A 26,777-nucleotide genomic window follows, 5' to 3' on the forward strand; every position below is an offset into this window, starting at 1 on the left:
GTAGTAAAATTTTTGATTACCATTGTTGATTTATTTCTTCTTTTGGCTCTATAAGTTTTTGCTACATGAATTTTTAAGCTCTGTAGTTAGTACTTACACATTTAAGGTTGTTCGGTGTTAATGAGTTGATCCTTTTAACATCAAGAAATGTTACTCTTTGTCCCTAGTAATATTCGATGTTTTGAAATCTACCTTGCCTGATATAAATAACTTTAGCTTTCTCTTGATTAGTATTAGCATGGTAATCTTTTTCTCACCTTTTAATTTTTCTACCTTTTATTTACAGTGGGTTTTTTTTTAAAAGGCAGCATATAGTTGTGTCTCCCACATTCATCCAACCTGACTCTCTCTTTTCTAGTTGGAGTTCTTATATATACATATATTTTTAAGAGAAAAATTGACAGAAGACTGCAATTTCAGAGATAAAATAGATGGATCCCAATGCAGGGATGTTTTGCCTGCAGTGATAAAATGTTATCATATTATCAAATGTTTCACATTTGCTGTAGAAATTGAGTGGGATTAACTATCTTTAGCAAGCCCCTCTGGAAGCATCTCATCTTGCATTATAATCTATAGCGATATTGTTTGTAAAATAACATACAGTTTAAAATAGTATAAAACAATCTGCAGGCTTGGGAATGACCTCTTACTTAATCACATTGAATGAATGTGGTCTGAATAGTTGAAAAAATTGTGAATAGAGGAGGGAAGTGGTAAGAAGTCCTTTCAAAAACCTTAAAAATAGGGCTGGGCGCGGTGGCTCATGGCTGTAATCCCGGGACTTGGGAGGCCGAGGCGGTTGCATTGCTTGAGGCCAGGAATTTGAGATCAGCCTGGCCAATGTGGTGAAACCCGTCTTTACTAAAAATATGAAAATTAGCCACATGGTGGCATGTGCCAGTAATCCCAGCCACTTGGGAGACTAGCTTGAACCTGGGAGGTGGAGGTTGCAGTGAGCCGAGATTGTGCCGCTGTACTCCAGCCTGGGTGACAGAGTGAGACTCTGGCTCAAAACAAAACAAAACAAAACTTAAAATTAATTCCACATTACAAAAGTAATACATATGTGTTTATTGCTCACAAATTAAATACCTGTAAACTAAAATAAGCAAATAAATTCTCTTTAATTCTACCACTCTGAACAAAAACAACATTGGTATTTCTTTGGTTTATCTTTCCAGTATTTTTCTTAACAGCAATGTAATTTTTAAAATGAGGTCATATCAGAAGTACCACTTTATAACCTACTTTTCCACTTACTATCTCATAATTTTCTGTGATGGTCATATTCATACTGATCTGTATCAACCTTTTTAATGACTACATATTTCATTTTATAGGATATAATCCTAGTTTCTAATTTTTTTCCTGTTAATGCAGTGTACATTATTTCTTTAGGATATATTTGTAGAAATACAACTGCTAGATCAAAAGACATTCAAAATTCTAAGGCTGGTGGTATGTTATAAAAATGCCAGCCTTAAAGTTTGTACTGATAGATAGTATACTAACATTGGGTGTAACTTTTTTGGGAGAAATAGATTGGATTTGTATCATAACTTTAATTTCCAGTTCTTCATTTTTTTGAAAGGCTAATAAACTTATCTCTATATCTTTTGGTTAATCAAAGATAATTTTTATATTTATTACCAACAGTTTAAATGCAAAGTCAAATATGGAGATTTTTTACATAGCCTCTTTTTGTAAAGAATTGGAGTGGTGAGTATTTGTTGTGATTTTACAGTTAAACTATGTCAGCTTCTCAGTGTGTATTTTGTGACTTAGTATAGAGAGCTTTTTATTCTTTTTTAGGTCAGTCTATGGGTATTGACTGCCTTCCAAGGAGGCCAAAGTTAAAATATTTGAGCTCTAAGTAGGCAGAATAGTACCAGTGAATAAGTATAGCATGTGGTGAAAATTGGGAGGGGTAGATTTTTATTCTGAGTGAGAATAAATCTTCTGTTTATGTTAGTGGATCTAGCACAGATTAATTTATTTTCTAAATGGACCTGTCTTGATTCTGTTACTTCTCTGATATTGTACCCTTGGAAAATGTTTTAGTTTCTCCATTATTCTCCATTTCTCCCATAAAGAATGATGATGCTTTGAAATGTCTGTGAGCTTCCCTAGTGATTTAGAAATGAAACAGTTTATGTTTCCCCCTCCTTTGATATGAATTATAGCACTGGAATTTGTGACTTTTTTGGTAGTCATTTAAGATATTTTAAAGCCTGACTTTATTGATTTTGATTTTGATTATTACAGACATTTTATAGTCAACAAGTGTTTTCTAGCATTTCTTTAATGTTATACGCTTGCATTAAGATACATGAAACTGCCTTCCTGGAGCTTACACTCTAGTTCTTGTATGTACCCAAGCAGGCCGTGGTTGTATGGAAGCCGGTGCTGTAGTTTTACAGAAAAGGAAAGATCTGTGAAGGATAAAGCATTCATGATAGCATGTGAGCTGAACTTTGAAGGGACTATTAGTATTTTCACCTGAGAATTATGATTTCAGTCCTCTTAGAGGAGTCTTAAATTATTACCTGGAGGATTTATGCATTTAACTATAACAAAATTATATATACTACTGTAGCACCATGCAGGGGACCTCTCTGTTTTTAGGATTTCCTCTGTCAGAACCCATAGGTGGTTTTCTAATTTTTATTCTTTATTAAAAATCCCTTTAAAGCATTAGATTATGCCACGGTTGGCAATTCTGAGTTCCTGAAAATAACTGAGTCATTGCAGCTGATCTTATTCTGACTAGTGGAATGCTAGTGACTCAAAACTACAAAGTCTACTCCCCTCCCATTCCCTGTGACAGGGCTCCATATGTTATTATTGACTTCGTCAGTATATCTAGCTTATTGCATCTGAAAGCATACATAGTAAATTTAGATTTATGGCTTTAAGAAGAACATATATTCAGAAACATTTTTCATAGTATTTGTTTTAGAGTTTTGTGTGTATACATTAAGGGCCAAGGTTAAAGTCACCTGTCACTGAACTGAGAGGTACTACTCTGGGCCAGGCATGGTGGCTCACAATAATCCCAGCACTTTGGGAGGCTGAGGCAGGCAGATCACTTGAGGTCAGGAGTTCGAGACCAGCCTGGCCAACATGGTGAAACCCCGCCTGTACTAAAAATGCAAAAATTAGCCAGGCGTTGTGGTGTGTGCCTGTAGTCTCAACTACTTGAGAGGCTGAGGCAGGAGAATCACTTGAACCCAGGAGGCAGAGGTTACAGTGAGCTGAGATTGTGCCACTGCACTCCAGGGCCTGGGTGACAAAGTGAGATTCTGTCTCAAAAAAAGAAAAGAAATACTACTGTAAATTCTTATCATAACTAATCTTTCTCTCTGATTCTTTGGTTGAAAAGATTTGGCTTAATGATTGTTTAAAGTTGGTCAGTAATACTTGGTATTAAGCAAGTGAGTGTTTGATATGTTCAGATAACTTAAATGAAGCATTAGATGCTCATGGATACTCTCTACTTCCAGGAATCTAGCCCTTTACTATATGGAAAGATTAAACCCATATTTAGTTTTTGAAACATTCATGGGAGAGCTGTGCCTTTATTTTTTCATTTAGCCAAATTGAACAGTTTTTGGACTTTCTCTGATGTTTAAAAGGACACAAAGCAGGGAGAAAAAAGTCTTATTTAAAAAATCTGGCCCTGAGTTTCCAGTTCTGGGAAGGATGGATAAGTACATGCCTTCCTGTCTTCGACTGTATGCAACTATAAAACCTGGACAGAATGCCTGGAGCGACTATTTGATAACTCTGAAAAACAAATAGTGGCAGGCACATTGGGAAAGAAGACCAGAACTTGAAGTACCACTAAGCTGGCAATGAGATTACCATTTTTTCCCCTCTTATCATCCTGCCATTTGGCCCCAGAGGCAGAAGTCCATAGGCTAGAGGACTAAAAAGGAACCCCAAGAAACCTGGAAGTATTTGGGAGATCACAGAGAGCCCATGAATGCAACTCCATATAGTTATCCATGAACTCTTTGGCTCACCTCTGTGTTCTGCATGCGTGGATTTATTCTACTTAGCATATAAATGATCTTGAGAGCTGAACTAATAGATAACCACTCAGACTGGCCACTCTGTGGTGTACGCAGGGCACACATCTGAAAAGCAGTGCAAAGGCTTTGAAAACTAAAAATTGTTAACATTCCCCAGAAGACCCAGAATCTTGTAACGTAATATCCAAAATGTTCATGGTACAGTCCAAAATTATTCAGCATAGGAAAAACCAGGAAAATTTCAACTTGCATGGGAAGAGACAATGGATGCCAATGTGGGATAATGTAGATGTTGGAATTATCTGACAAACTTTAAAGCATGTAGTTTACAAATATTTCAACAAGCTGGCCCAAATACTTGTGAAACAAATGGAGAAACAAAGTTCTCAGGCAAGAAATAGATGATGTGAAGAGGAACCAAATACCATAACTAAAATGAGAAGCTCACTGCATGGCCTCAGTAGCAGAACAGAGGTGACAGAGGAAAGAATCAATGAAGTTGAAGATAGATCAGTAGAAATTATGCAGTCTGAATGACAGAGATAATAAAGATGGGAAAACAAATGAACAGAGTTTCAGGGACCTGTGGAATGAGAACAAAAAGTCTAATATGTCTTTAGAGTCCCAGCCGGAGAGGACAAAGGATGTAGTGCAAAACTGGAAAGTTTCCAAGTTGGCAGAAGACATAAACCTACAAATTCTAGAAGCCCAGTGAACCCAAGCAAGATAAACCCAAAGAAGCCTGCATTCAGACACATCATAATCAAACTTCTAAAAATTAAGGCAAAGAAAATACTTGAAAGCCCAGAGAAAAACAACACATTACATATAAGGAAACAATGATTCAGAAGACTGTGGATTTCACACCAGAAACCCTGGAGGCCTTAAGGAAGTGGCATAGCAGAGCATAGAAAGAAGAGAATTGTAAACTTAGAATTCTGTATCCAGCAAAAATAGCCTTTATAAATGAAGGTGAAACAAAGGCAGTTTTAGGTGAAGGAAAAGTCAGAGAATTCAACTAGCAGGGCTGTACTAAATAATAGCAAAATGAAGTTTTTCAGACAGAAGGGAAACGATATCAGAAGGAATAGTGGCACATCAAGAATGAAGAAGAGGAACAGAAATAGCAGATTTATCTGGGAATATAATACACTCTTGAGTTCTCCAGTATATATTTTATGGTTCAAAGCATATTTAAGATTACTGTAACTTAAAGGGGGGATGGTAAAGTAACCTATATGGTGGTAGGGTTTCTTCCGTGTAATATATTTTGCATTGTAAAAATGTTGATTCTAAGTAAGCTCTGAAAAGATAATTATTGTAATTCCTGGAACAATCACTTAAAAAGCTATACCAAGTAATATAGTAGAAAACACAATAGATACATTAAAATGGAATACTAAAATTATTTAACACAAAAGAAGGCAAGAAAGAGGAAATGAGAAACAGGAAATAAAACAATAACAAAATAGGTAAAAATCCAAATATAGCAATGATTATATTAAATAGAAATAGTCTAAACAAAACAACCCAAATAGATTATCCTATTAGACTCTAAAAAAACCCCAGCAAATTACTGTGCATAAGAAATTGACTTCAAAAATAATGATATTGGAAGATTATTAAAAGTAAAAGAATACAAAACATATATTATGCAAACACTAATCATAATTAACATTTAGTGAGTAAAGCTTAAAGTAGGCAAAGAAAGTGACCAGGAATACAGAGGAATGTTACATAGTGATTAAATGGTCAATTCGAGGGGGGCGGGGCCGAGATGGCCGATTGGAAGCTCCCATGGAAAAGATCCAAAACAGTGTATTAATCTTGCACCGGCAACCAAGATATCCAGGTTTGGTCATTAGGACTGACTAGGCAGCCGGCATGACCCACGGAGAGGAAGGAAGAGCAGTGTGGTGCGGCGGCCCACCTGAGAGCCACACAGGGCAGGGGAGCCCCCACCCTTAGCTGAGGGAGGTGGTTAGTGAGTGTGCTACCCAGCCTTGGGAACCGTGCTTTTTCCACGGAACTGTGCAACCCACAGATCAGAAGATCCCACTCGTGAGCCCATGCTACTGGGGCCTTGGGTCCCAACCATGGAGCCGTGCAGATTCTCACTGGGCTAGAATTGGCCTAAGCCAGCCAAATCCCCAGGGGAAGGGGCAGCCACCACCACTGCTGTGGCTGCCTGCTGTCTAAGCCACCTACGCTCCTTGTGGGAGGGGTGGCAGCCAACACTGCAGCTTCAGGGCTTCCTTGCAGGAACTCCGTCTCCAACTAGGGGCTAAGGGACAGAACTCTGATCTCCCTAGGCCTGAACCCCTAGGGGGAGGGATGGCCGTAGTCTCTGTGGACCAGCAGACTTAGTCTTTCCTCCTGCGAGCACTGACGAATCTGGGCAGCCCAGATGAGTGAGTTTCCCCCCAGCACAGCACACCCCCTCCACCAAGAGATAGCCAAAGTGCTTTGTTAAATGGGCCCTGCTTCCTGTGCCACCCAACTGGGTGAGACCCCACCCCCGCCCCCGCCAACAGGGGTTGTCAGACATCCTATACAGGAGCATCCCTACTGGCATCAGGTCAGTGCCCCTCGAGGTCAGAGGTCCCAGAGGAAGGAGCAGGCACCCATCTCCACTCTTCTCCAGTCTCCTCAAGTGACATTTCCAGATGCAGGAGTGAACCAGATGAATAGGGCTTAAAGTGAACCCCCAGCAAACCGCAGCAGCTCTGCAGAAGAGGGACCTGACTATTGAAAGAAAAACAGAAAGTAACAACAACAGTTTCAACAAAAAAGTCTCCACAAAAATCCTTATCCAAGGGTTAGCAGGCTCAAAGATCGAAACTAGACAAACTCATGAGGATGAGAAAGAATCAATGAAAAAAACGCTGAAAACCCAAAAGGCAGAGTGCCTCTTCTCTAAATGATCGCAACACCTCTCCAGCAAGGGCGCAGAACTGTACAGAGAATGAGATGGATGAATTGACAAAAACAGGCTTCAGAAGGTGGGTAACAACAAACTTCGCTGAGGTAAAGGAGCATGTTCTAACCCAAAACAAAGAAGCTAAGAACGTTGATAAAAGATTAGAGAGCTGCTAACTAGAATAACCAGTTTAAAGAGGAACGTAAACGACCTGATGAAGCTGAAAAATGCAACGTGAGAACTTCGTGAAGCATACACAAGTATCAATAGTTGAATCAGTCAAGCAGAAGAAAGAATATCAGAGATGGAAGACTCTCTTGCTGAAATAAGGCAGGCAGACAAGATTAAAGAAAAAATAATGAAAAGGAATGAACAAAACCTCTGAGAAATATGGGACTATGTAAAAAGACCGAACCTAAGACTGATTGGAATACCTGAAAGAGACAGGGAGAATGGAACCAAGTTGGAAAACACACTTCAGGATATTATCCAGGAGAACTTTCCTAACCTAGCAAGACAGGACAACATTCAAATTAGGAAATACAGAGAATTCCACTAAGATACTCTATGAGAAGATCAACTCTAAGGCACATAATCGGATTCACCAAGGTCAAAATGAAGGAAAAAATATTAAGGGCAGCCAGCGAGAAAGGCCATGTCACCTACAAAGGGAAGCCCACCAGACTAACAGCAGACCTCTCAGCAGAAACCCTACAAGCCAGAAGAGAGTGGGGGTCAATATTCAACATTTTTAAAGAAAACAATTTTCAACCCAGAATTTCATGTCTGGCCAAATTAAGCTTCATAAGCTAAGGAGAAATAAAATCCTTTTCAGATAAGCAAATGCTGAGGGAATTTGCCACCACCAGGACTGCCTTACAAGAGCTCCTGAAGGAAGCACTAAATATGGAAAGGAAAAACCAGTACCAGCCACTGCAAAGCACACAAAAATATAAAGACTAATGACATTATGAAGAAACGGCATCAATTACCATGCAAAATAACCAGCTAGCGTCATGATGACAGGATCAAATTCACACATAACAGTATTAACCTTAAATGTATATAGGCTAAATGCCCCAATTAAAAGATATAGACTGGCAAATTGGATAGAGTCAAGACCCATTGGTTTGCTGTATTCAAGAGACCCATCTCATGTGCAGAGACACACATAGGCTCAAAATAAAGGGATGGAGGAAAATGTATCCAGCAAATGGAAAGTGGAAAAAAGCAGGGGTTGCAATCCTAGTCTCTGACAGAACAGACTTTAAACCAACCAAGATCAAAAAAAAGACAAAGGGCATTACGTAATGGTAAAGGGATCAATTCAACAAGAAGAGCTAACTATCCTAAATATATATGCACCCAGTATGGGAGCACCCAGATTCATAAAACAAGTTCTTAGAGACCTACAAAGAGAGTTAGACTCCCACACAATAATAGTGGGAGAATTTAACACCCTACTGTCAATGTTAGATCAACGAGACAGACAATTAACAAGGATATTCAGGACTTGAACTGAGCTCTGGATCAAGTGGACCTAATAGATATCTACAGAGCTCTCCACCCCAAAACAACAGAGTGTACATTCTTATCAGTGCCACATAGCACTTACTCTAAAATTGACCACATAATTGGAAGTAAAACACACCTCAGCAAATGCAAAATAACTGAAACTGTAACAGTCTCTCAGACCATAGTGCAATCAAATTAGAAATCAGAATTAAGAAACTCACTCAAAACCACACAACTGGCCAGGTGCGATGGCTCATGCCTGTAATCCCAGTACTTTGTGAGGCCGAGGTGGGCGGATTGCCTGAGCTCAGGAGTTCAGCCTGGGCAAAACAGCGAAACCCCATCTCTACTAAAATACAAAAATTAGCCAGGTGTGGCAGTGTGCGCCTGTAGTCCCAGCTACTCGGGAGGCTGAGGTAGGAGAATTGCTTGAATCCGGGAGGCAGAGGTTGCAATGGGCTGAGATTGCACTACTGCACTCCAGCCTGGGTGGCAGAGTGAGATGCCATCTCAAAAACAAACAAACAGGCCAGGCATGGTGGCTCATGCCTGTAATCCCAGCATTTTGGGAGACCGAGGCAAGTGGATCATGAGGTCAGGAGATCGAGACCATCCTGGCTAACATGACGAAACCCCGTCTCTACTAAAAATACAAAAAAATTAGCCGGGCATGATGGCGGACGCCTGTGGTCCCAGCTACTCAGGAGGCTGAGGCGGGAGAATGGCATGAACCCAGGAGGCAGAGCTTGCAGTGAGCCGAGATCGCGCCACTGCACTCCAGCCTGGGCCACAGAGTGAGACTCTGTCTCCAAACAAACAAACAAACAAAAAGCCACACAACTACCTGGAAATTGAACAACCTGCTCCTGAATGACTTCTGGGTAAATAATGAAATTAAGGCAGAAATCAAGAAGTTATTTGAAACCAATGAGAACAAAGAAGGAATGTACCAGAATCTCTGGGACACAGCTAAAGAAAGCAGTGTTAAGAGGGAAATTTATAGCACTAAATGCCCATATCAGAAAGCTAGAAAGATCTCAAATCAACACCCTAACATCACAACTAAAAGAACTAGAGAAGCAAGAGCAAACAAATCCAAAAACTAGCAGGAGACAAGAAATAACTAAGATCAGAGCGGAACTGAAGGAGATAGAGACATGAAAAACCCTTCAAAAAATCATTGAATCCAGGAGCTGGTTTTTTGAAAAAATTAATAAAATAGACCACCAGCTAGACTAATAAAGAAGAAAAGAAGAATTAAATTGACACAGTAAAAAACAATAAAGGGGATATCACCACTGATCCCACAGAAATACAAACTACCTTCAGAGAATACTATTAACACCTCCAGCAAATAAACTAGAAAATCTAGAAGAAATGGACAAATACCTGGACACATACACCCTCCCAAGACTGAAGTACAGGAAGAAGTTGAATCCCTGAATAGAGCAGTAACCAGTTATGAAATTGAGTCAGTAATAGATACCCTACTAACTAAACAAAGTCCAAGACCAGAGAGATTCACAGCTGAATTCTACCAGAGGTACAAAGAGGAGCTGGTATCATTCCTTCAGAAACTATTCTAAACAATTGAAAAGGAGGGACTCCTCTCTAACTAATTTTATGAGGCTAGCATCATCCTGATACCAAAACCTGGCAGAGACACAACAAAAAAAAGAAAATTTCAGGCCAATATCCTTGATGAACATCAGTGTGAAAATCCTCAATAAAATACTGGCAAACCAAATCCAGCAGCACATCAAAAAGCTTATTTACCACGATCAAGTCAGCTTCATCCTGGGATGCAAGGCTGGTTCACCATATGCAAATCAATAAACATAATCTATCACATAAACAGAACCAATGATAAAACCATATGATTATCTCAATAGATGCAGAAAAAGCCTTTGATAAAATTCAACATCCCTTCATGTTAAAGACTCTCAATAAACTAGGTATTGATGGAACATATCTCAAAATAATAGGAGTTATTTATGACAAACCCACAGCCAGTATCGTACTGAATAGGCAAAAGCTGGAAGCATTCCCTTTGAAAACTGGCACAAGACAAGGATGCCATCTTTCACCACTCCTATTTAACATAGTATTGGAAGTTCTGGTCAGGGCAATCAATCAAGAGAAAGAAATAAAGGGTACTCAAATAAGAAGAGAGGAAGTCGAATTGTCTCTGTTTGCAGACGACATGATACTATATTTAGAAAACGCCATCATCTCAGCCCAAAAATGCCTTGAGCCGATAAGCAACTTAGGCAAAGTCTCAGGGTATAAAATCAATGTGCAAAAATCACAAGCGTTCCTATACAACAGCAATGGAAAAGCAGAGAGCCAAATAATGAATGAACTCCCATTCACAGTTGTTACAAAGAGAATAAAATACCTAGGAATACAGCTAACAAGGGACATAAAGGACCTCTTCAAGGAGAACTACAAACCACTTTTCAAGGAAATAAGAGAGGACACAAACAAATGGAAGAACATTCCATCCTCATGGATAGGAAGAATCAGTATCATGAAAATGGTCATACTGCCCAAAGTAATTTATAGATTCAGTGCTATTCCCATCAAACTATAATTAAAATTCTTCACAGATTTAGAAAAAACTGCTTTAAAATTCATATGGAACCAAAAGAGAGCCCACATAGTCAAGGCAATCCTAAGCAGAAAGAACAAAGCTGGAAGCATCATGTTACCTGATTTCAAACTATCCTACAAGGCTACAGTAACCAAAACAGCATGGTACTAGTACCAAAACAGACTTATAGACAATGGAACAGAATAGAGGCCTCAGAAATAACACACATCTGCAACCATATGATCTTCAACAAACCTGACAAAAACAAACAATGGGGAAAGGATTTTCTATTTAATAAATCATGTTGGGAAAACTGGCTAGCATCTACGGTAAACCAAAACTGGACCCCTTCCCTACACCTTATACAAAAATTAACTCAAGATGAATTAAAGACTTAAATGTAAAACCCCAAACCATAAAAACTCTAGAAGAAAACCCAGGCAATACCATTCAGGATATAGGCATGGGCAAGGACTTTATGACAAAAATGCTGAAAGCAATTGCAACAAAAGCCAAAATTGACAAATGGGATCTAATTAAACTAAAGAGCTTCTTTACAACAAAAGAAACTCATGAGTGAACAGGCAACCTACAAAATGGAAGAAAATATTTGCACTCTACCCATCTGACAAAGGTCTAATATCTAGAATCTACAAGGAACTTAAACAAATTTACAAGAAAAAAAAAACCCCTTCATAAAGTGGGCAAAGGATATGAACAGACAATTCAGTAAGGAAGACATTTATGCGGCCAACAAACATGAAAAAAGCTCAACATTGCTGATCATCAGAGAAATGCAGATCAAAACCACAATGAGATACCATCTCACACCAGTCAGAATGGCGATTATTAAAAAGTTGAGAAACAATAGATGCTGGCGAGGCTATGGAGAAATAGAAACGCTTTTACACTGTTGGTGGGAGTGTAAATTAGTTCAATTATTGTGGAAGACATTATGGTGATTCAAGGATCTAGAACCAGAAATACCATTTGACTCAGCAATCCCATTACTGGGTATATACCCAAAGGAATACAAATCATTCTACTAAAAAGACAGATGCACACATATGTTTATTGCAGCACTATTTACAATAGCAAAGACATGGAACCACCCCAAATGCCCATCAATGATAGACTGGAAAAAGAAAATGTGATACATATACACCATGGAATCCTATGCAGCCATGAAAAGGAATGAGATCATGTCCTTTGTCAGGACATTGATGAAGCTGGAAGCCATCATTCTCAGCAAACTAACACAGAAACAGAAAACCAAACACCACATGTTCTCACTCATAAGTGGGAGTTGAACAATGAGAACACATGGACACAGGCAGGGGAACAACATACAGTGGGGCCTTTTGGTGGGGAGCGAGGGAAGGGAGAGCATCAGGACAAATAGGTAATACATGTGGGGCTTAAAACAAGTGACGGGTTAATAGGTGCAGCAAACCACCATGGCACATGTATACCTATTTAACAAACCTGCACGTTCTGCACATGTGTCCTGGAACTTAAAGGAGAAAAAATAAATAAATAAGATCAGTTCAGCAGGAAAACATAGGAATCCCAAATGTGTGTATACCTAACAACTGAGCTTCAAAATACTTGAAACAAAAACTTACAGAAATAAAAGGAAAAATAGACAAATCTAAAAATTATATTTGGAGACTTTTTACTCTTTTTTGTGATAAATAGAACTAATAGAACATCATCAAGAATATAGAAGTTCACCATCAAACGGACTAGATATGATTGATATTTATCGAACATTCTATCCAACAGCAGAATACACTTTTTTCAACTGCCTATAGAACATTCACCAAGATAGACCATATTTTGAGTCATAATACAAACATGAACAAATTTTAAAGGATTGCAATAATTAAAAGTATGTTCTCTCACTATACTGGAATTCAACTAGAAATTAATAGGAGAAAAATAACAAGAAAGTCTTCAAACTCTTAGATTAAAATTAAGCAGCAGCCTTATAAATAATCAATGAGTCAAAGAGGAAGTCTCAAGGGAAATCTAAAAATATTTTGAACTGAACGAAAATGAAAATATGGTTTATCAAAATTTGTGGGATATAGCTTAAAGCAGTGCTTAGAGAGAACTTTGTGGCATTAAAAGCTTATTTAGAAAGAAAAGTATTCAATCAATAATTTAAGCCTTCACTTATGAAATGAGAAAAATATTAAGAGCATAATAAATGGAAGATAAGTACAAGGAAAGAAATAGTGATGAAAGTAGAAATTAGTGTTATTGAAGATAGAAGAACAATAGAGAAAATCAATGGAACCAAAAGCTAGCTCTTTGAAAAGATCAATAAAATGATAAACCTTTAGCAAGAGAGTCAAAGAGAACAAAAGAAAACATAAGTTCCCAGTATCAGTGAAACAGAGGATATCATTACCCTGCAGGCCCTGCAGACATTAAAAGCTTTGTAATGGAATCTGACAACAGTTCTCTCTATATACATTTAACAGCTTGGATCAAATGGACAATTCTTCCAAAACCACAAACTGTCAAAACTCAACCAAGATGCAATAGATAATCTAAATAGGTTATCTATAACTATAAAGAATGGAATTCATGGTTTAAAGCCTTAAAAAGAAGTTCCCCTTGGCCGGGCACGGTGCTCATGCCTGTAATCCCAGCACTTTGGGAGGCTGAGGTGGGCAGGACACTTGAGACCAGGAGTTCAAGACCAGGCTGGCCAACATATTGTATTTTTAGTGAAACTCCATCTCTACTAAAAATAAAAAAAATTAACTTGGGCATGCTGGTGCATGCCTGTAATCTCTGCTACTCGGGAGGCTGAGGAAGGAGAATTACTTGAACCCAGGAGGTGGAGGTTGCAGTGAGCCGAGATCACACCATTGCACTCCAGCTGGGGCAACAGAGCGAGACTCTGTCTCAAAAAAAAAAAAAAAAAAAAAAGGAAGGAAGAAATCTCTAGACCTCCAGACTCACGTGGTTTCTCTGCCAAATGTTATCAAGCATTTAGATAAGAAATGACACTGATGAAATAAAATCTGCTTTAAACAATAGGAAAAACAGTCTAAAGAAGAAACTCACATGGTTATGTCAGTTGATACAGAAAACAGAATTTGACATTATGCAGCATCCATTTATGACAAGAACTCTCATGAGGAACACACTAGAAGTAGAAGAAAACTTTTTCAACCTTATGAAGGACATCTACCAACAAATCTTATAGCTATGTCAAACAGTGTTGGAAGATTGCATTCTTTCAGTTCATTTGGGGTGCTATAACAAAAATATCACAAACTTGTTGGCTTATAAAGAACAAACATTTATTCTTAACAGTTCTGGAGGCTGGAAACTTCAAGGCCAAGGTGCCAACAGATTTGGTGTCTGCCGAGCACTGTCATCCTCATAGATGGTACCTTGTTAGCTCTATCTTCATACAGTGAAAGGGGCTAGCTAGCCAGCCCTCTATGGTCTCTTTTATAAGGGCACTAATCTCAACCATGAGGGCTTTGCCCTCATGACCTTATCACTTCTCAAAAGGCTGCAATACCTAACACCATCACTTTGGGGTTGATTTCAGCATATACGTTTTGGGGGATTCAAACATTCAGACCATTGGACATGGCAAGGATGTCCACTCTCACTACTGCTATTCAACATCATGCTAGAAGTCCTAGCCAGTGTAATAAGGAAAGAATGGGGGCGGGGGGTGTGTGGGTGGCAGGGGGAAGCAAACAAATTGGAAAGGAAGAAAAAAAACCATCTCTATTCTCAGAAAAAATTCTTTCTATTAAAAATTGCAGTGTCTACATTGAAAATTAAAAAACTATTAGTTAAATTTGTATGATTTAAGGTCAATACACAAAAATGTACTATATCTATATATTAACGATATGCAATTGGAAACTGGAATAAAAAATACAATTTATAATATTTCCAAACAAATAAAATACTTAGGTATAACTTTAACAAAACATATATAAGATTTATATGCTGAAAACTACAAAAGTCTGGTAGAAGAAATCCAAGACCTCGTAACTGTAGAGACATATTGTGTTCATGGATTAAGGCCCTTAACGTATTATAGCAAATATTTCAGTTCTTCTCAAGTTGACTTATAGATTTAACACAATTTCAGCTAAAATTCCAGTAGGATTCTTTTTTTGTAGATATAGACAAGCCAATTATAATGTTTATATGGGAAGGTAAAGGATCTAGAATACCTGAAGCAATTTTGAAAAATATGAATAAAGTTGAAGGAATCACCTGATTTTAAGGCTTACTATAGAGGTATAGTAATCCAGGGTATGTGGTACTGACAGAGGTGTAGACGCAGTCCAATAGAACAGAATAAAGCCCAGAAATATATCCACACAAATGTGGTTAATTGACTTTTGATGGAAATGTAAAAGAGATTCCATATAGAAAGGATTTTGTTAGTTGTTTTTAGCAAAGGGTAGTGGAACACTTGGACATTCATACCTTAAAAAAAAGAACCTTGATCTGAATCTCACAGCTTTTTAAAACAATTAACTCAAAATGAATCACAGATCTCAATGTAAAATGTGAGTCAATAAAGCTTTCAGAAGAAAGCAGAGGAGAAATTCTTCATAACCTGAGGTTAGGCAGAGAGTTCTTAGACATGACACCAAAAACATAATCCATAAAGGAAAAAGTTGTTAAAGTAGACTTATCTATGAGTGTGTTAAGAGAATGAAAAAACAACTCAATAGTGAAATAAAAATTTAATTTTAAAAATTGGCAAGAACTTCGAACAGACATTTATCCAAAGAGGATGGATGGCAAATAAGCACATGAAAAGATGTTTGACATCTTTAGCCACTAGAGAAATGCAAATTAAAACCGTAATGAAATACCATTATACTTGTTAGAATGGGTAAAATTAAATACTGATAATAGCAAGTGTTGGCAAGGATGCAGAGCAACTGGAACTCTCATAATTGCTGGTGTTAATGCAAAATGGGATGGCCATTCTGGAAAATGATTTGGCAGGTTTTTTCTTTCTTTTTTTTAAATAAACATATATTTACCACATAACCTAGCAATCTCACACCTGGGTATTTACTCCAGTGTTAGGAAAACTTATTGTCATACAGTAAGCTGTATGTGAATGTTCATTGCACCTCTATTTATAATCACTAAAAACTGGGAACAGTGCTCTGTAGTTCATCCATTATACAGTGGAATACTCCTTACCAATAAAAGGAACAAACTGTTGATACATGCAACCACTTAATTGAATCTCAGAGGCATTATGAGTAAAACAATCCAGTTTCAAAGAGTTAGACACTATATGATTCCATTTACATGACAGCATAAAAAACTCAAAACTATAGTGAGAGAAAACAGATTGTTGGTTGTCAGGGGTTAAGGATGAGGAGAGGATGCAACTATAAGGAATAGCATGAAGAACATTTTTGGGGTGATGGGACTGTTCTGTATCTTGATTGTGTTTGAATTCATAGACTTATTTGTGTAGTTACATGTGTTTGAATTCATAGACTTATATACCAAAAAAAGGTCAAGTTTATTCTATGATAATTAAAAATTTTTTGAAGCTGACTCTGGTTTCAGTGCCTTGGCTCAGAAACAAGATAGAAAATCTCTTATGGAAATAGTCCAGATACCCCAAAATGTTTAGACCAAAGTAATTAATTAAGAAATAAATTGGAATATGGCTTTGGAAAAGGACCTTTCAGATACAGGAACAAACAAAATGAGGGAAAGAGACTTAGTCATGTTGTGGGAGGCAGGGAGACTCTAGGATGAAAATTAGATACCAGGCCATCTTCTGTGTTGGGAACTGCAGAGGAACTTGGATGTACAATATTTTGTTTTGAGCGGTTTGCCGAGATACAGTGTATCTCCATCACCCAGACTTTCAATAAAAGTCTGCTGCACCCCACAGACTGGGTTGATAGTATTTTGGAGAAAAAGCAGTCAGGAGAGCAGAGTATAGCAGCAGGAGGAAAGATGTGCAGGAGGGTAAGAGTTCGGTGGGAACAGGAAATCAAGAGTTAGGGTGAATGTGAGGACTTAGAATGTGCAGAATGGTAGGGTGAAGAACTGGGTTTCCTACAATATGTCTCTGTCTTGTTTTCTACTATTAAAGAAAAGTATAATTGTAGAGTTGACAATTTGCGGAAAAGCAGAAAGGAGACATCTAAGTGGTGAAAGTTTAACCCTCTTTGTACTATCAACTGCTTACATTTATTTTGTGATAGTTTTATTAAAAACTTAGTGCCAACTGTTAATCACTAATTTTGTATATACTGTATATAGTAGTCCCTCCTTATCTGCAGGGGATGTGTTCCAAGACCCCCACTAGATACCTGAAACCTTGGATAGTACCAAATTCTATATATACTATGCTTTTTCAATCTGATAACAGGGGCAGCTACTAAGGGGCTAACAGGCAGGGAGCATATACAGCATGGATATGCTGGACAAAGGGATGGTTCATGTCCCAGGTAGAGCGGGACAGTGAGAGATTTCATCACATGACTCAGAATGGTATGCAATTTAAAACTTATGAGTTGCTTATTTCTGGAAATTTCCACTTAATATTTTTGCACTGCACTGATCGCAGGTAACTGAAACTCTGGAAAGCAAAACCTCAGATAAGGGGGAACTACTGTCCTTTCTACCCAGATGCTGATATTATTTACTGTAAGCCATTGGATGTGTTTCTCGTGTGAACAGACGATGAGGAAAAAGTTAGTTTTCCATTATCCATAAATAGGGTATTCACTTTGTAGGTTACTTTTACCAATTTAAAATCTATCTAATTCTTCTCCAGAGGAAAGACAATATAGCTTAGTTAAGTATAATGGGCTTTGAAGTCAGACAGACCTGGTGTCCATCCCAGTTCCACCAATCATTAGTTGTGAGCCTTGGCCAAATTACATCCTCTTTCTGAGCTGAGGACAACAACCCTGTGCCCTTGCCTTACAGGGTTGTTGCAAGGCTTAAGAATCTGCATCATCCATCTACCCCCTAGACTCATATCATCCTTCTCAGTTACCATCTTTTGGTGGTTAAATGACAAATTTACCATTAACTCAAAAAACATTAAAAAATTATGATGGGCTCAAGAGCTAAGTAGAACTAACCCTAATAATGCAAGTCCAGCTGAACGGCAGACTTGCTGTAAGCAGCACTCCACATTGGCCACTGTGCTGTCCTAACTACCATGACTTGTTCAGAACTGGAAACATTACTAAAGAGTTTTAAAAACTTTAAAGTGTTGCTGTGGAAGGTTCAAAGAGAAAGTATACTTTTATTCTCGAAAAATACCAAATGCTTCTTCAGTGTGTTTAGTTATTTTAATGTGTGGGTTGAGGTTCCATCATCATCTGCAAAATATAGTGTATAGTCTTGACGGAATGGATCAAAAGAGACTGCATGTGAAAATGAATCAGAGGGCACTTCAGCCTGAATGTTCCCAAGTGGGGCAGGGGTGTATTCAGAGAGGGGAGTGAATGAGGCATTCATCAGCACACTGGGCTGACCTAGGGGGTAGATTCTAGAAGAGGGATCATAGTTCCACAGTGACAGATCTCCAGCCTGAATTAGACGAGCGCAGTTTTCTGGCTAGAAGAAATAGAATAAGTTAGACTTGTGTAACCAGTGGTTTGGTTCTCCATCAACATTTGCATTGCTGAACAGTATTTCTGCCTTTGTGGCTGCAGGTTTTATTGTTGTGGTGAGGGTAGCTGGATTTCCTGTTGTTCCTATTGTCCATCTTCTTTAACCTCTACTCAACTACTTACTTCCCAACTCAGCCTTGCACCAGGCACAAAGAATAGTCCTTTACCTTGCAAAAATGTAAGGAATGCTATCAAAGGAGCTCAGGTGCGGCTGGTGAGTGATGGGACAGGAATTGGTTTGCCTAGAGATTGACGTGACTGGGAGTCAATGGTCATTGGAATCCAGGTGTTCCCTTTTGAGGCTACTAAGCTGTAGTAAAGACAAGATCAAGAGAGGGATGCTATTGAGAGACTGAGGGAAAGAAAACGGCAGACAGATCAGAGCGACAGTATTCTGTCAGGATAGTGGGGAAAATTATTAGTGTTGTGTTAGGCCATATACTAACATTCAGACAGGTAAGGCTGCTAGTCAGTAGCAGGAAGGTTAGGTACCAAGAGACAGGCCTCAGTCGTGAATAAGGCATCAGGCTAGGCCCCAGGTCTAGAGAACAGAAAAGCCGTCCAAGTCCTGGAATTGGTACAAGGTGGAAATTTGGTTAGAGTGGAGTCTGAGCCACCTGGGCTCCTTTGATAGCGTTCCTTACATTTTTGCAAGGTAAAGATAGGACTATTCTTTGTGCCTGGTGCAAGGCTGAGTTGGGAAGTAAGTAGTGAGCAGAGGTTAAAGAAGATGGACAATGGGAACAATAGGAATTACAGAATCTTTCTGTTTATTATGGTAATTTCTCTGGCATGAGCATATTTTCAGTTAAAAAAAGTGTTATTGTTTTGAAGGAATATATTTATGCAAACTGTGTTCAGGTTAAATAACAGTTCCCTGCCTCACCTGTCCTTATCTTGAATCTCACTCCCTATCATTTCAACTCTTTAGCTTTTTTTTTTTTTTTGCTGCTTACCTTTATGTCTCTAAATAACATGCTTATAATATTATTTCTTGATTTTTTTCAATATTGGACATAATCTGGAAACTTCACACTGGCAAAGATTAGAGTTCTGTTATATTCTCTACCTACCCTCTCCTCTTCCTCACCACCAGACACTCATCCTTCCCCAAAGAGTTAATCTTTTAAATAAAATTTGACAATTATTAACTATGGAAAGTATTTTTGTTTGGTTATTATGATTGCATGTACCATGATTGCTTTTCTTTCTCATAAATCATTTAGTTTTTCCTGAAGTTACTGACTTTAATTTTTTTTTCCACAGTAACCTCTGTATCTCTGGTAGAATTATAAAACTCATAATGCTCTAAAACTCTTTAAGTAGTGTTTTCTTTTTCACCTTGGAGACATCCCTCCACCTTTGCTTTGTAGGCATGCTACATAGCTGTCTGGAAAGGTTCTTCACCTCCTTCCTGTCTGTGTAAGATTCCTGGTTCCTAAATCCTGAGTTCTTTGTTTTGGAGGCATATCTTCCAGTAGCTTTCTGAGAAAAGCAGTATGGGAGGTAAAATATTTTGAGAGCTTTACATGCTCCAGAACTGCCCTTTTGCTCCCCTTGCCTCACATTTCATTCACAGCTGGTGTATGGAATTCTTGATTGGATGTTACTTTCCTTCAGAATTGTGAGGGCATCCCTCCATTGTCTTACAGTTTTCGGTGTTGCTTCTGAGAAGTATGATGCCATTCTGATCCCTGTTCTATTGTATATAAACATGTTCTTTTCTAGAAACTTTTAGACTCTTTCTTGTTATTCTGAAATTTCAAGATGAAGGGTTCTACAGTAGGTATTTTGTTGGTCATTATTCTGGGCACTTAATAGATCCTTTCAGTGTGAAATTTTCTTGTGATTTTTTTTTGAAATATTTATATCTTGTGTCTTCTCCATTCTCTTTCTGGATGTTGGACCTCTTGGAACAATCCTATAATTTCTTATCTTTTTTCCCCTTCTGATTTTCTCTTTGCTTTTTTCTTCTATTTCCTAGAAAATCTCTTCATTTCTAACTTTCAATCCTGCTTTTGAAGGTTTTTTTTTTTTAAATTTATGCTACCACATTTTTGGTTTCCAAGATATTTCTGTTGGTTTGTTTTTTGAATAATACTTTCCTATAGCACTCTCTTTCTAGTTCATGAGTGGAAATATCTTCTTTGATTTCTCAAAAGACTTTTAAGAAACTTTGCTCCCTGCATGATCTGTTTTTTCAGAGTTCATTTCCTTCTGTTTATGTTGCTCTTTGCCTTTCATGTTTAAGTTTTCCTCACACATAGGGTGATCCTTGTCTGGCCTTTTACATTGAAGGGTGAGGTGCTAACGTGAGTGGAGCTGTGTGTGTCCGCTCACATGGCGTGTGTGATTCTTGTTGACTGATGGGAAGCTAGACATTTCATTGAGGGATGCACAAATGTCACTATCTGTGGGTCTTGTCTTTTGGGCCAGTTTTCCCAGAGAGAGATCCTTCTGTTTCCTGGCTGGATACAGACAAGACTGTGATCCAGAACTGAGGGGAGAAAGTTGTTTAGCATTCTGGGTGTGTTTGTATGTGGGGGGAGAGGGTCTCATTGTTCCAGGCAGAGTTTCACTCACTCCCGCTACTTTTAGAAATATGTTTCATTTCCACTCAACATTTAGGCCTCTTGGATGGAACATCTCCAAATAGTACAGGCTTCTCCCTGGAGAGAGAAGCACCAGGCACATGGCTGTATAGGTTCAGGGAACATCTGGGATGTGTGTGCTACTATAGTTATAGTATATACTATAGTATATCTGGGATGTGTGTTACCCCGGGTCTCCGAATGTAAATTGATAGAGTTTAGAAATATGTGAAATTTATAATCTCTATAAATATTCAGATTAAGTGGTTCTTGTTAAAAAATAAAACTGCCCAGGAAGATAATCCTGTGTAATGGTAGCAGTATTCCTGTTTCTGGGTTGTACATTTTCCTCCTCCAATTTGTCTCTTTCAGAACAAATTGGAGCTCTGGCAGATCAGCATATCATTCATGTGGCATGTGGCGAGTCCCACAGTCTGGCCCTCAGTGACCGAGGCCAGCTGTTTTCTTGGGGTGCAGGGAGTGATGGTCAGCTAGGACTCATGACTACTGAGGATTCTGTGGCAGTGCCCAGGTAAGAAGGTTTTCAAATGTCAGTCGTTTTAAATGCTATTTCCTGCTGTTGATTTGTTAGACTCCTTGTTTTTCTTCTGTTTTCTTCATTTAATTGCTATTTCCTTTGCACCACTCCTGTGCCTTATACTATTAAAACACTTGTCACAAAAGTTGCAATTATTTATAGAAGTGTCTGTCTCTGTTTCAAAAATGTGAGTCGGTTGGGAACTGTACTTTATTTATTCTAGTAGCCTGTTTGCTTGCTGAGTGCCTGGCAGTCGATAAATGTTTGAATAAAAAAGACATCTTTCACATCGTAGGCTTATTAACCTTCAACTGAAAATTGCAAGTCTGAATTACTCAATTAAGTACTTTAAAATAGAATCACAAAGCTGACCTGTTACTCTGATAGGCCAAATCACTTTAAGCATTACAAACAGCTAAAATACCAGATATACATAGATTCTTTAATGCAAAAATGTTAATACAGTAGGTTTTGAGTCTCTTAAAGATTCACTTAAATCTAAACCTTAGATGATTTAGCTAAGTATCTAATAGTTGCCACTAAGAGAACATCCCAAATATTGAAGTTACTTTCAAATGGACTTTTTAGTGGTGGTGTCTCAGTTTGTTGAAGGTTCTTAATGATCAAAGAGCTGCCATTTTATTTCCTTTATTCAATTCTTACTCCTTTGTGCTACAGGTGTTCCACATACCACTACTATAGTACACATTCTTTGTAATTGTTTATTTAATATCTGTTTTTACTACAAAGATGTGAGCTATTAATGGCAGGATAATTGGATGATTTATTTTAGCATCACCATTGCTAGGAGTGCCTATCACATACATTGCTGAGTACAAATTTAATAAATGGCCTCTCCTCCTCTGCCTAATTATCGTCCCCTTTAAAGAACAGCATATTCTTCTTCCTCTTCTTTTTTGCCCTTGTTAGATTTTTGTCTCTTTAATCAAAAGTTGTGTTAAATAAGAGGACCATGGAGGTAAGAGTGATTTGATTCAGTTCTTGATTTAGGACAGGTAATGTCTTAGATTCATTTCTTCCAAAAATTAATTTAATTTTGTGGGGAGAGGAAGAGTGGCAGTAAGAAAAAAGAAGTGCTAGATGTTATGTTGTGTGTAATACTAGGGAAAATGTTTATAACATTAATGGCAAAAATATTTCATTTGTTGATGACCAAAACACAATTAAGGTTTTTAACGGCATTTCATTTTTAAAAATGAAGTAATCTGTTCTACAGTAATAGCTTAATATTCATTATTCATGTTCAAATTATGGATGACTTCCAAGACTTTGATTTGTATATAGTTTTCTATTATAAGTTAATTGAAATAAATTCACTAATTTATACCTTTGTATTGTGGAAAGTAACATAGCTTTGATGTCAAACAAGCCTTGGATTCCAATACTGGCTCTTTTACTTGTAAGGTGAATGACCTTGGGCAGGTTAACTTTTCTAAGCCTCAGTTTCCTAACTTAAAAATTACTTACTATGTACCTTACAGGGTTATGGGGAGGATAGAAGGAGACAAGTAGGTAAAATACAGTATGTGCTTGCACTGTATGGACTCCCTCTTCCCCACCTCAAGGGTACAATTTCTCTATTATCTGTCTTTGTTCTTCTGACCTGCTTCTTTTCTACAACTGATTGTGACAAGAGTAATGGTGATGGGGAATTGTTGAAGCAATTCTCTGCCTCAGCCTCCCGAGTAGCTGGGATTACAGGCATGTGCCACAACGCCCGGCTGATTTTTTTTGTATTTTTAGTAGAGATGGGGTTTCATCATATTGGCCAGGCTGGTCTCGAACTCCTGACCTCAGGTGATAAGCCCACCTTGGCCTCCCAAAGTGCTGAGATTACAGGCGTGAACCACTGTGCCTGGCCTTAAAAAGACTTTTAGGCAAGATGGTGTTATTTATTACTGACATTTTATTTAATTGGGAATATTTCTGATAATTGTGTTTGTGTGTGAATATCTATCTGAAAAAGAAAGCCTTTTCTGTTTTAGGTTAATACAAAAGCTGAACCAGCAAACAATATTACAAGTTTCCTGTGGCAACTGGCATTGCTTGGCTCTTGCGGCTGGTAAAGTAACATTAAACATATGCTAATGCTATGTTAATTTTGAAAACATTTCTCTTTGTCTTTTTGTGTGATATTATCTAACTGAAAACTTTGAATTAACTGGTTAGGGTCTATGCATTGCTGTTGGACAGTGACAATTCTCATATGGGCTTTGCATAGCTCATCCTTTTCTCAGGGTGTGGGTGATGAAGTAGGTGGTCATCATTGCTGCTCCAACTTTCACAGGGGAAGATAAGCAGGGGGCAGGACCATACCTAGGTGTTCTGAGCATGGAGGAGATTGATTTTTCTTAGCGACAGCCAACTCTCAAGCTACATTCCACTATCAAGCTCCCAAATGAATGAAAAAGAAGGAGTTGGAGAAACCTAAATAAATCTGCACTTCTGTGTCCTGCTTGATTATCTGCAGAGCAGACCAAGTGGTCATTGCTGGACCTCCCGAAGTCTTGGGTCTCATAGTCTTAGTGTGGTCAGAACTAGTGTGATCTTGCTTAAGCCTGGTAATTGGCCTGTCCGAAATTGAATTTACTTATACATTTAATATTTTCTGTGTATAAATTTTAATAGCCTTTGAAGGGCAGTAAGACTCAGCTTACCTCTCTGTTATATCACTTGGGAGTTTTGGTTTTGGCAGTCTGATAGCATGAAGTATCTCTGTTCCTTTGCTCTTGGGTGGGTTTGGTGTTGGGGGGCAACTGGCAAATGACCCTAATAACTAGATTATTTTTGTGTGTGGAGCTTGTATCATTTTATGGTAATACCAGTTATCCTGTTATTTCAGATGGCCAGTTCTTCACCTGGGGAAAGAACAGCCATGGGCAGCTTGGCTTAGGGAAGGAGTTCCCCTCCCAAGCCAGCCCACAGAGGGTGAGGTCCCTGGAGGGGATCCCACTGGCTCAGGTGGCTGCCGGAGGGGCTCACAGCTTTGCCCTGTCTCTCTCAGGAGCTGTTTTTGGCTGGGGGATGAATAATGCCGGGCAGCTAGGGCTCAGTGATGAAAAAGGTAGGTAAACCCTTCATATGTATGTATTTAGTTTAAAAGCACATTCATTTAACACATGCTTCTTGAGGATCTACTATGTGCTAGCCCCATGTGAGATACTAAGGGAGAAGCAGTGAACACAATAGAGAACATCCTCGTCTTAGTGGAGACTGTATTCTAGTGAGTAGAGGTGCAACAAAACCAGTAAATACACAGGATTTGAGAGTGCAGCTTCCTGCTTTACATAAGGTGGTGGGGAAGGGCCCCTCTGATAAGAAAATGTTTGAGCAGAACCTGTAGGAAATCAGGTGGGAGATGGGACATGTAAATGTCTGGGTGAAAAATGTTCCTGTCAGAGAGAACTGGGTGTGCAAAGGTGCTCATGTGGGAAGAGATGTAGTTGGAGAGAAGGGGAAGAGTAGCACAGCTGCAGGTCAGAGAAGTCGTGTAGACCCAGTTATGCAGGGCCCTGAGGGGCAGGGTGAGGATATAACTGGTTTTCTCAGTGAGAGGGGAAGACCCTGAGGGTTTGGAGGAGAAGCGTGATCCACTTTGGCTTTGGCTGTAGTGGGTCAAGGGGGAAGCTGGAAGACCAGCTTGGAGGTTGTGGGAGTAAAGTCAGATTTTAAACATATTTTGAAGATGAGGCCAGTTGGTTTTGTTCACTGTTGGATGTGTGGTTTGAAATAAAGGAACAGCTGGAAGGGCAAAATGACTGTTTCTGAAATGGGGAAAACCGTGTGTAGTAAAGTGAGCTGGAGAGTGGGCAGGGTTGGAGAGTGTAGGGAAACCATGAGGTAGGTTTTAGGTAAATTAAAACTGAGAAGTCTGTTGGATATCCAAGTACAGATGCAGGCAGGAAACTGAACATGCGTCAGGAATCCAGGAATCCAAAATTCATGCCAAGATAGTTGTGTATATTTCATCTCAAAGGCAAATGGTAGTGATATTCTGATATTTAATTTATTCTAGATCGAGAATCTCCATGCCATGTAAAACTCTTACGCACGCAAAAAGTTGTCTATATTAGTTGTGGAGAAGAACACACAGCAGTTCTCACAAAGGTAAGGAGCTCAGAGTATTTTACTTTGGTGCTGGGGATATGATGGGTGATTAGAATTGCTTGATTATGTTAGTGTAGTGATGGTGTGTGATTACAGTATTGTGGCTTGAACTTGAATGCTCTCTTTTATGTGGGTTTGTTGTTTTCCAAAGGAATAGAAAAAGACTACTTTTTTGTATGTCTCTGTTATCCTCTTTGGTAATCTTGTAGATTTTTCATATATATATATATATATATATATATATATATATATATACACACACACACATAATGTAGATTATATATATATACACACATATAATGTAGATTATATAAAAATGTAGATTATATATATAAATATAATGTATATATTTATATATATATAAATTCCTTGGTTCTTTATGGAACAAAGACAGCACTTTGTTATTTTTATTTGTTATTTTATGTATATATAATATATATAAAATGATGTCCTATGTTCCTTTAAAACAAGTCATTTAAATATGTAAAAAAGAAACAGCAATTTAATTAATGTTTTAAAATAATCATGTTTCTTTTGCTTCTAAATACATTCTAGAGAGAATGAAAATGTATTTTTATATTGAACAAATATTATTCTACGTTCACTTTGATAAAATGCCTTAACATTTATTTAAATACAGCTGTTAAAAAAACAGCTTACTTACCAAGGAATTTGTAGAGCACCTAATTTCTTACATGTGAATGATCATGTAAAATCATCTCATTTAGCCTAGCTCCTAGTTTCTCCTTTTTTAAAATTTTGCTTCCTAACACATCATTGTACTTTCA

General features: G+C 38.2%; 1 protein-coding gene across 10 annotated transcripts in view, besides 2 other annotated features; it reads left to right on the forward strand.

The window, feature by feature from the left end:
• HERC3 (HECT and RLD domain containing E3 ubiquitin protein ligase 3) overlaps window positions 1-26,777 on the forward strand; it is a 184,697-nt gene that overhangs the window by 104,302 nt on the left and 53,618 nt on the right. For 9 of the 10 annotated variants that reach the window (NM_001375483.1, NM_001375482.1, NM_001375479.1 and 6 more), the window contains 4 exons: window positions 21,696-21,855; window positions 23,868-23,944; window positions 24,725-24,946; window positions 25,898-25,989. In NM_001375483.1, the coding sequence (NP_001362412.1) occupies window positions 21,696-21,855; window positions 23,868-23,944; window positions 24,725-24,946; window positions 25,898-25,989 (551 nt within the window). The remainder of the gene's footprint in view (window positions 1-21,695; window positions 21,856-23,867; window positions 23,945-24,724; window positions 24,947-25,897; window positions 25,990-26,777) is intronic. The other variant, NM_001375481.1, reaches the window with a different exon arrangement.
• Window positions 5,606-6,109: an enhancer, noted in NCBI's record as "H3K27ac-H3K4me1 hESC enhancer chr4:89554901-89555404 (GRCh37/hg19 assembly coordinates)". NCBI's record gives its function as "activates a minimal SCP1, AML or CMV promoter by ChIP-STARR-seq in primed H9 embryonic stem cells {active_cell/tissue: H9 hESC(primed)}" and the evidence as "EXISTENCE:reporter gene assay evidence [ECO:0000049][PMID:30033119]".
• Window positions 6,110-6,612: an enhancer, noted in NCBI's record as "H3K27ac-H3K4me1 hESC enhancer chr4:89555405-89555907 (GRCh37/hg19 assembly coordinates)". NCBI's record gives its function as "activates a minimal SCP1, AML or CMV promoter by ChIP-STARR-seq in primed H9 embryonic stem cells {active_cell/tissue: H9 hESC(primed)}" and the evidence as "EXISTENCE:reporter gene assay evidence [ECO:0000049][PMID:30033119]".

The sequence above is a fragment of the Homo sapiens genome, chromosome 4, assembly GCF_000001405.40.
Source record: "Homo sapiens chromosome 4, GRCh38.p14 Primary Assembly".
Classification (NCBI taxonomy): Eukaryota; Metazoa; Chordata; class Mammalia; order Primates; family Hominidae; genus Homo; species Homo sapiens.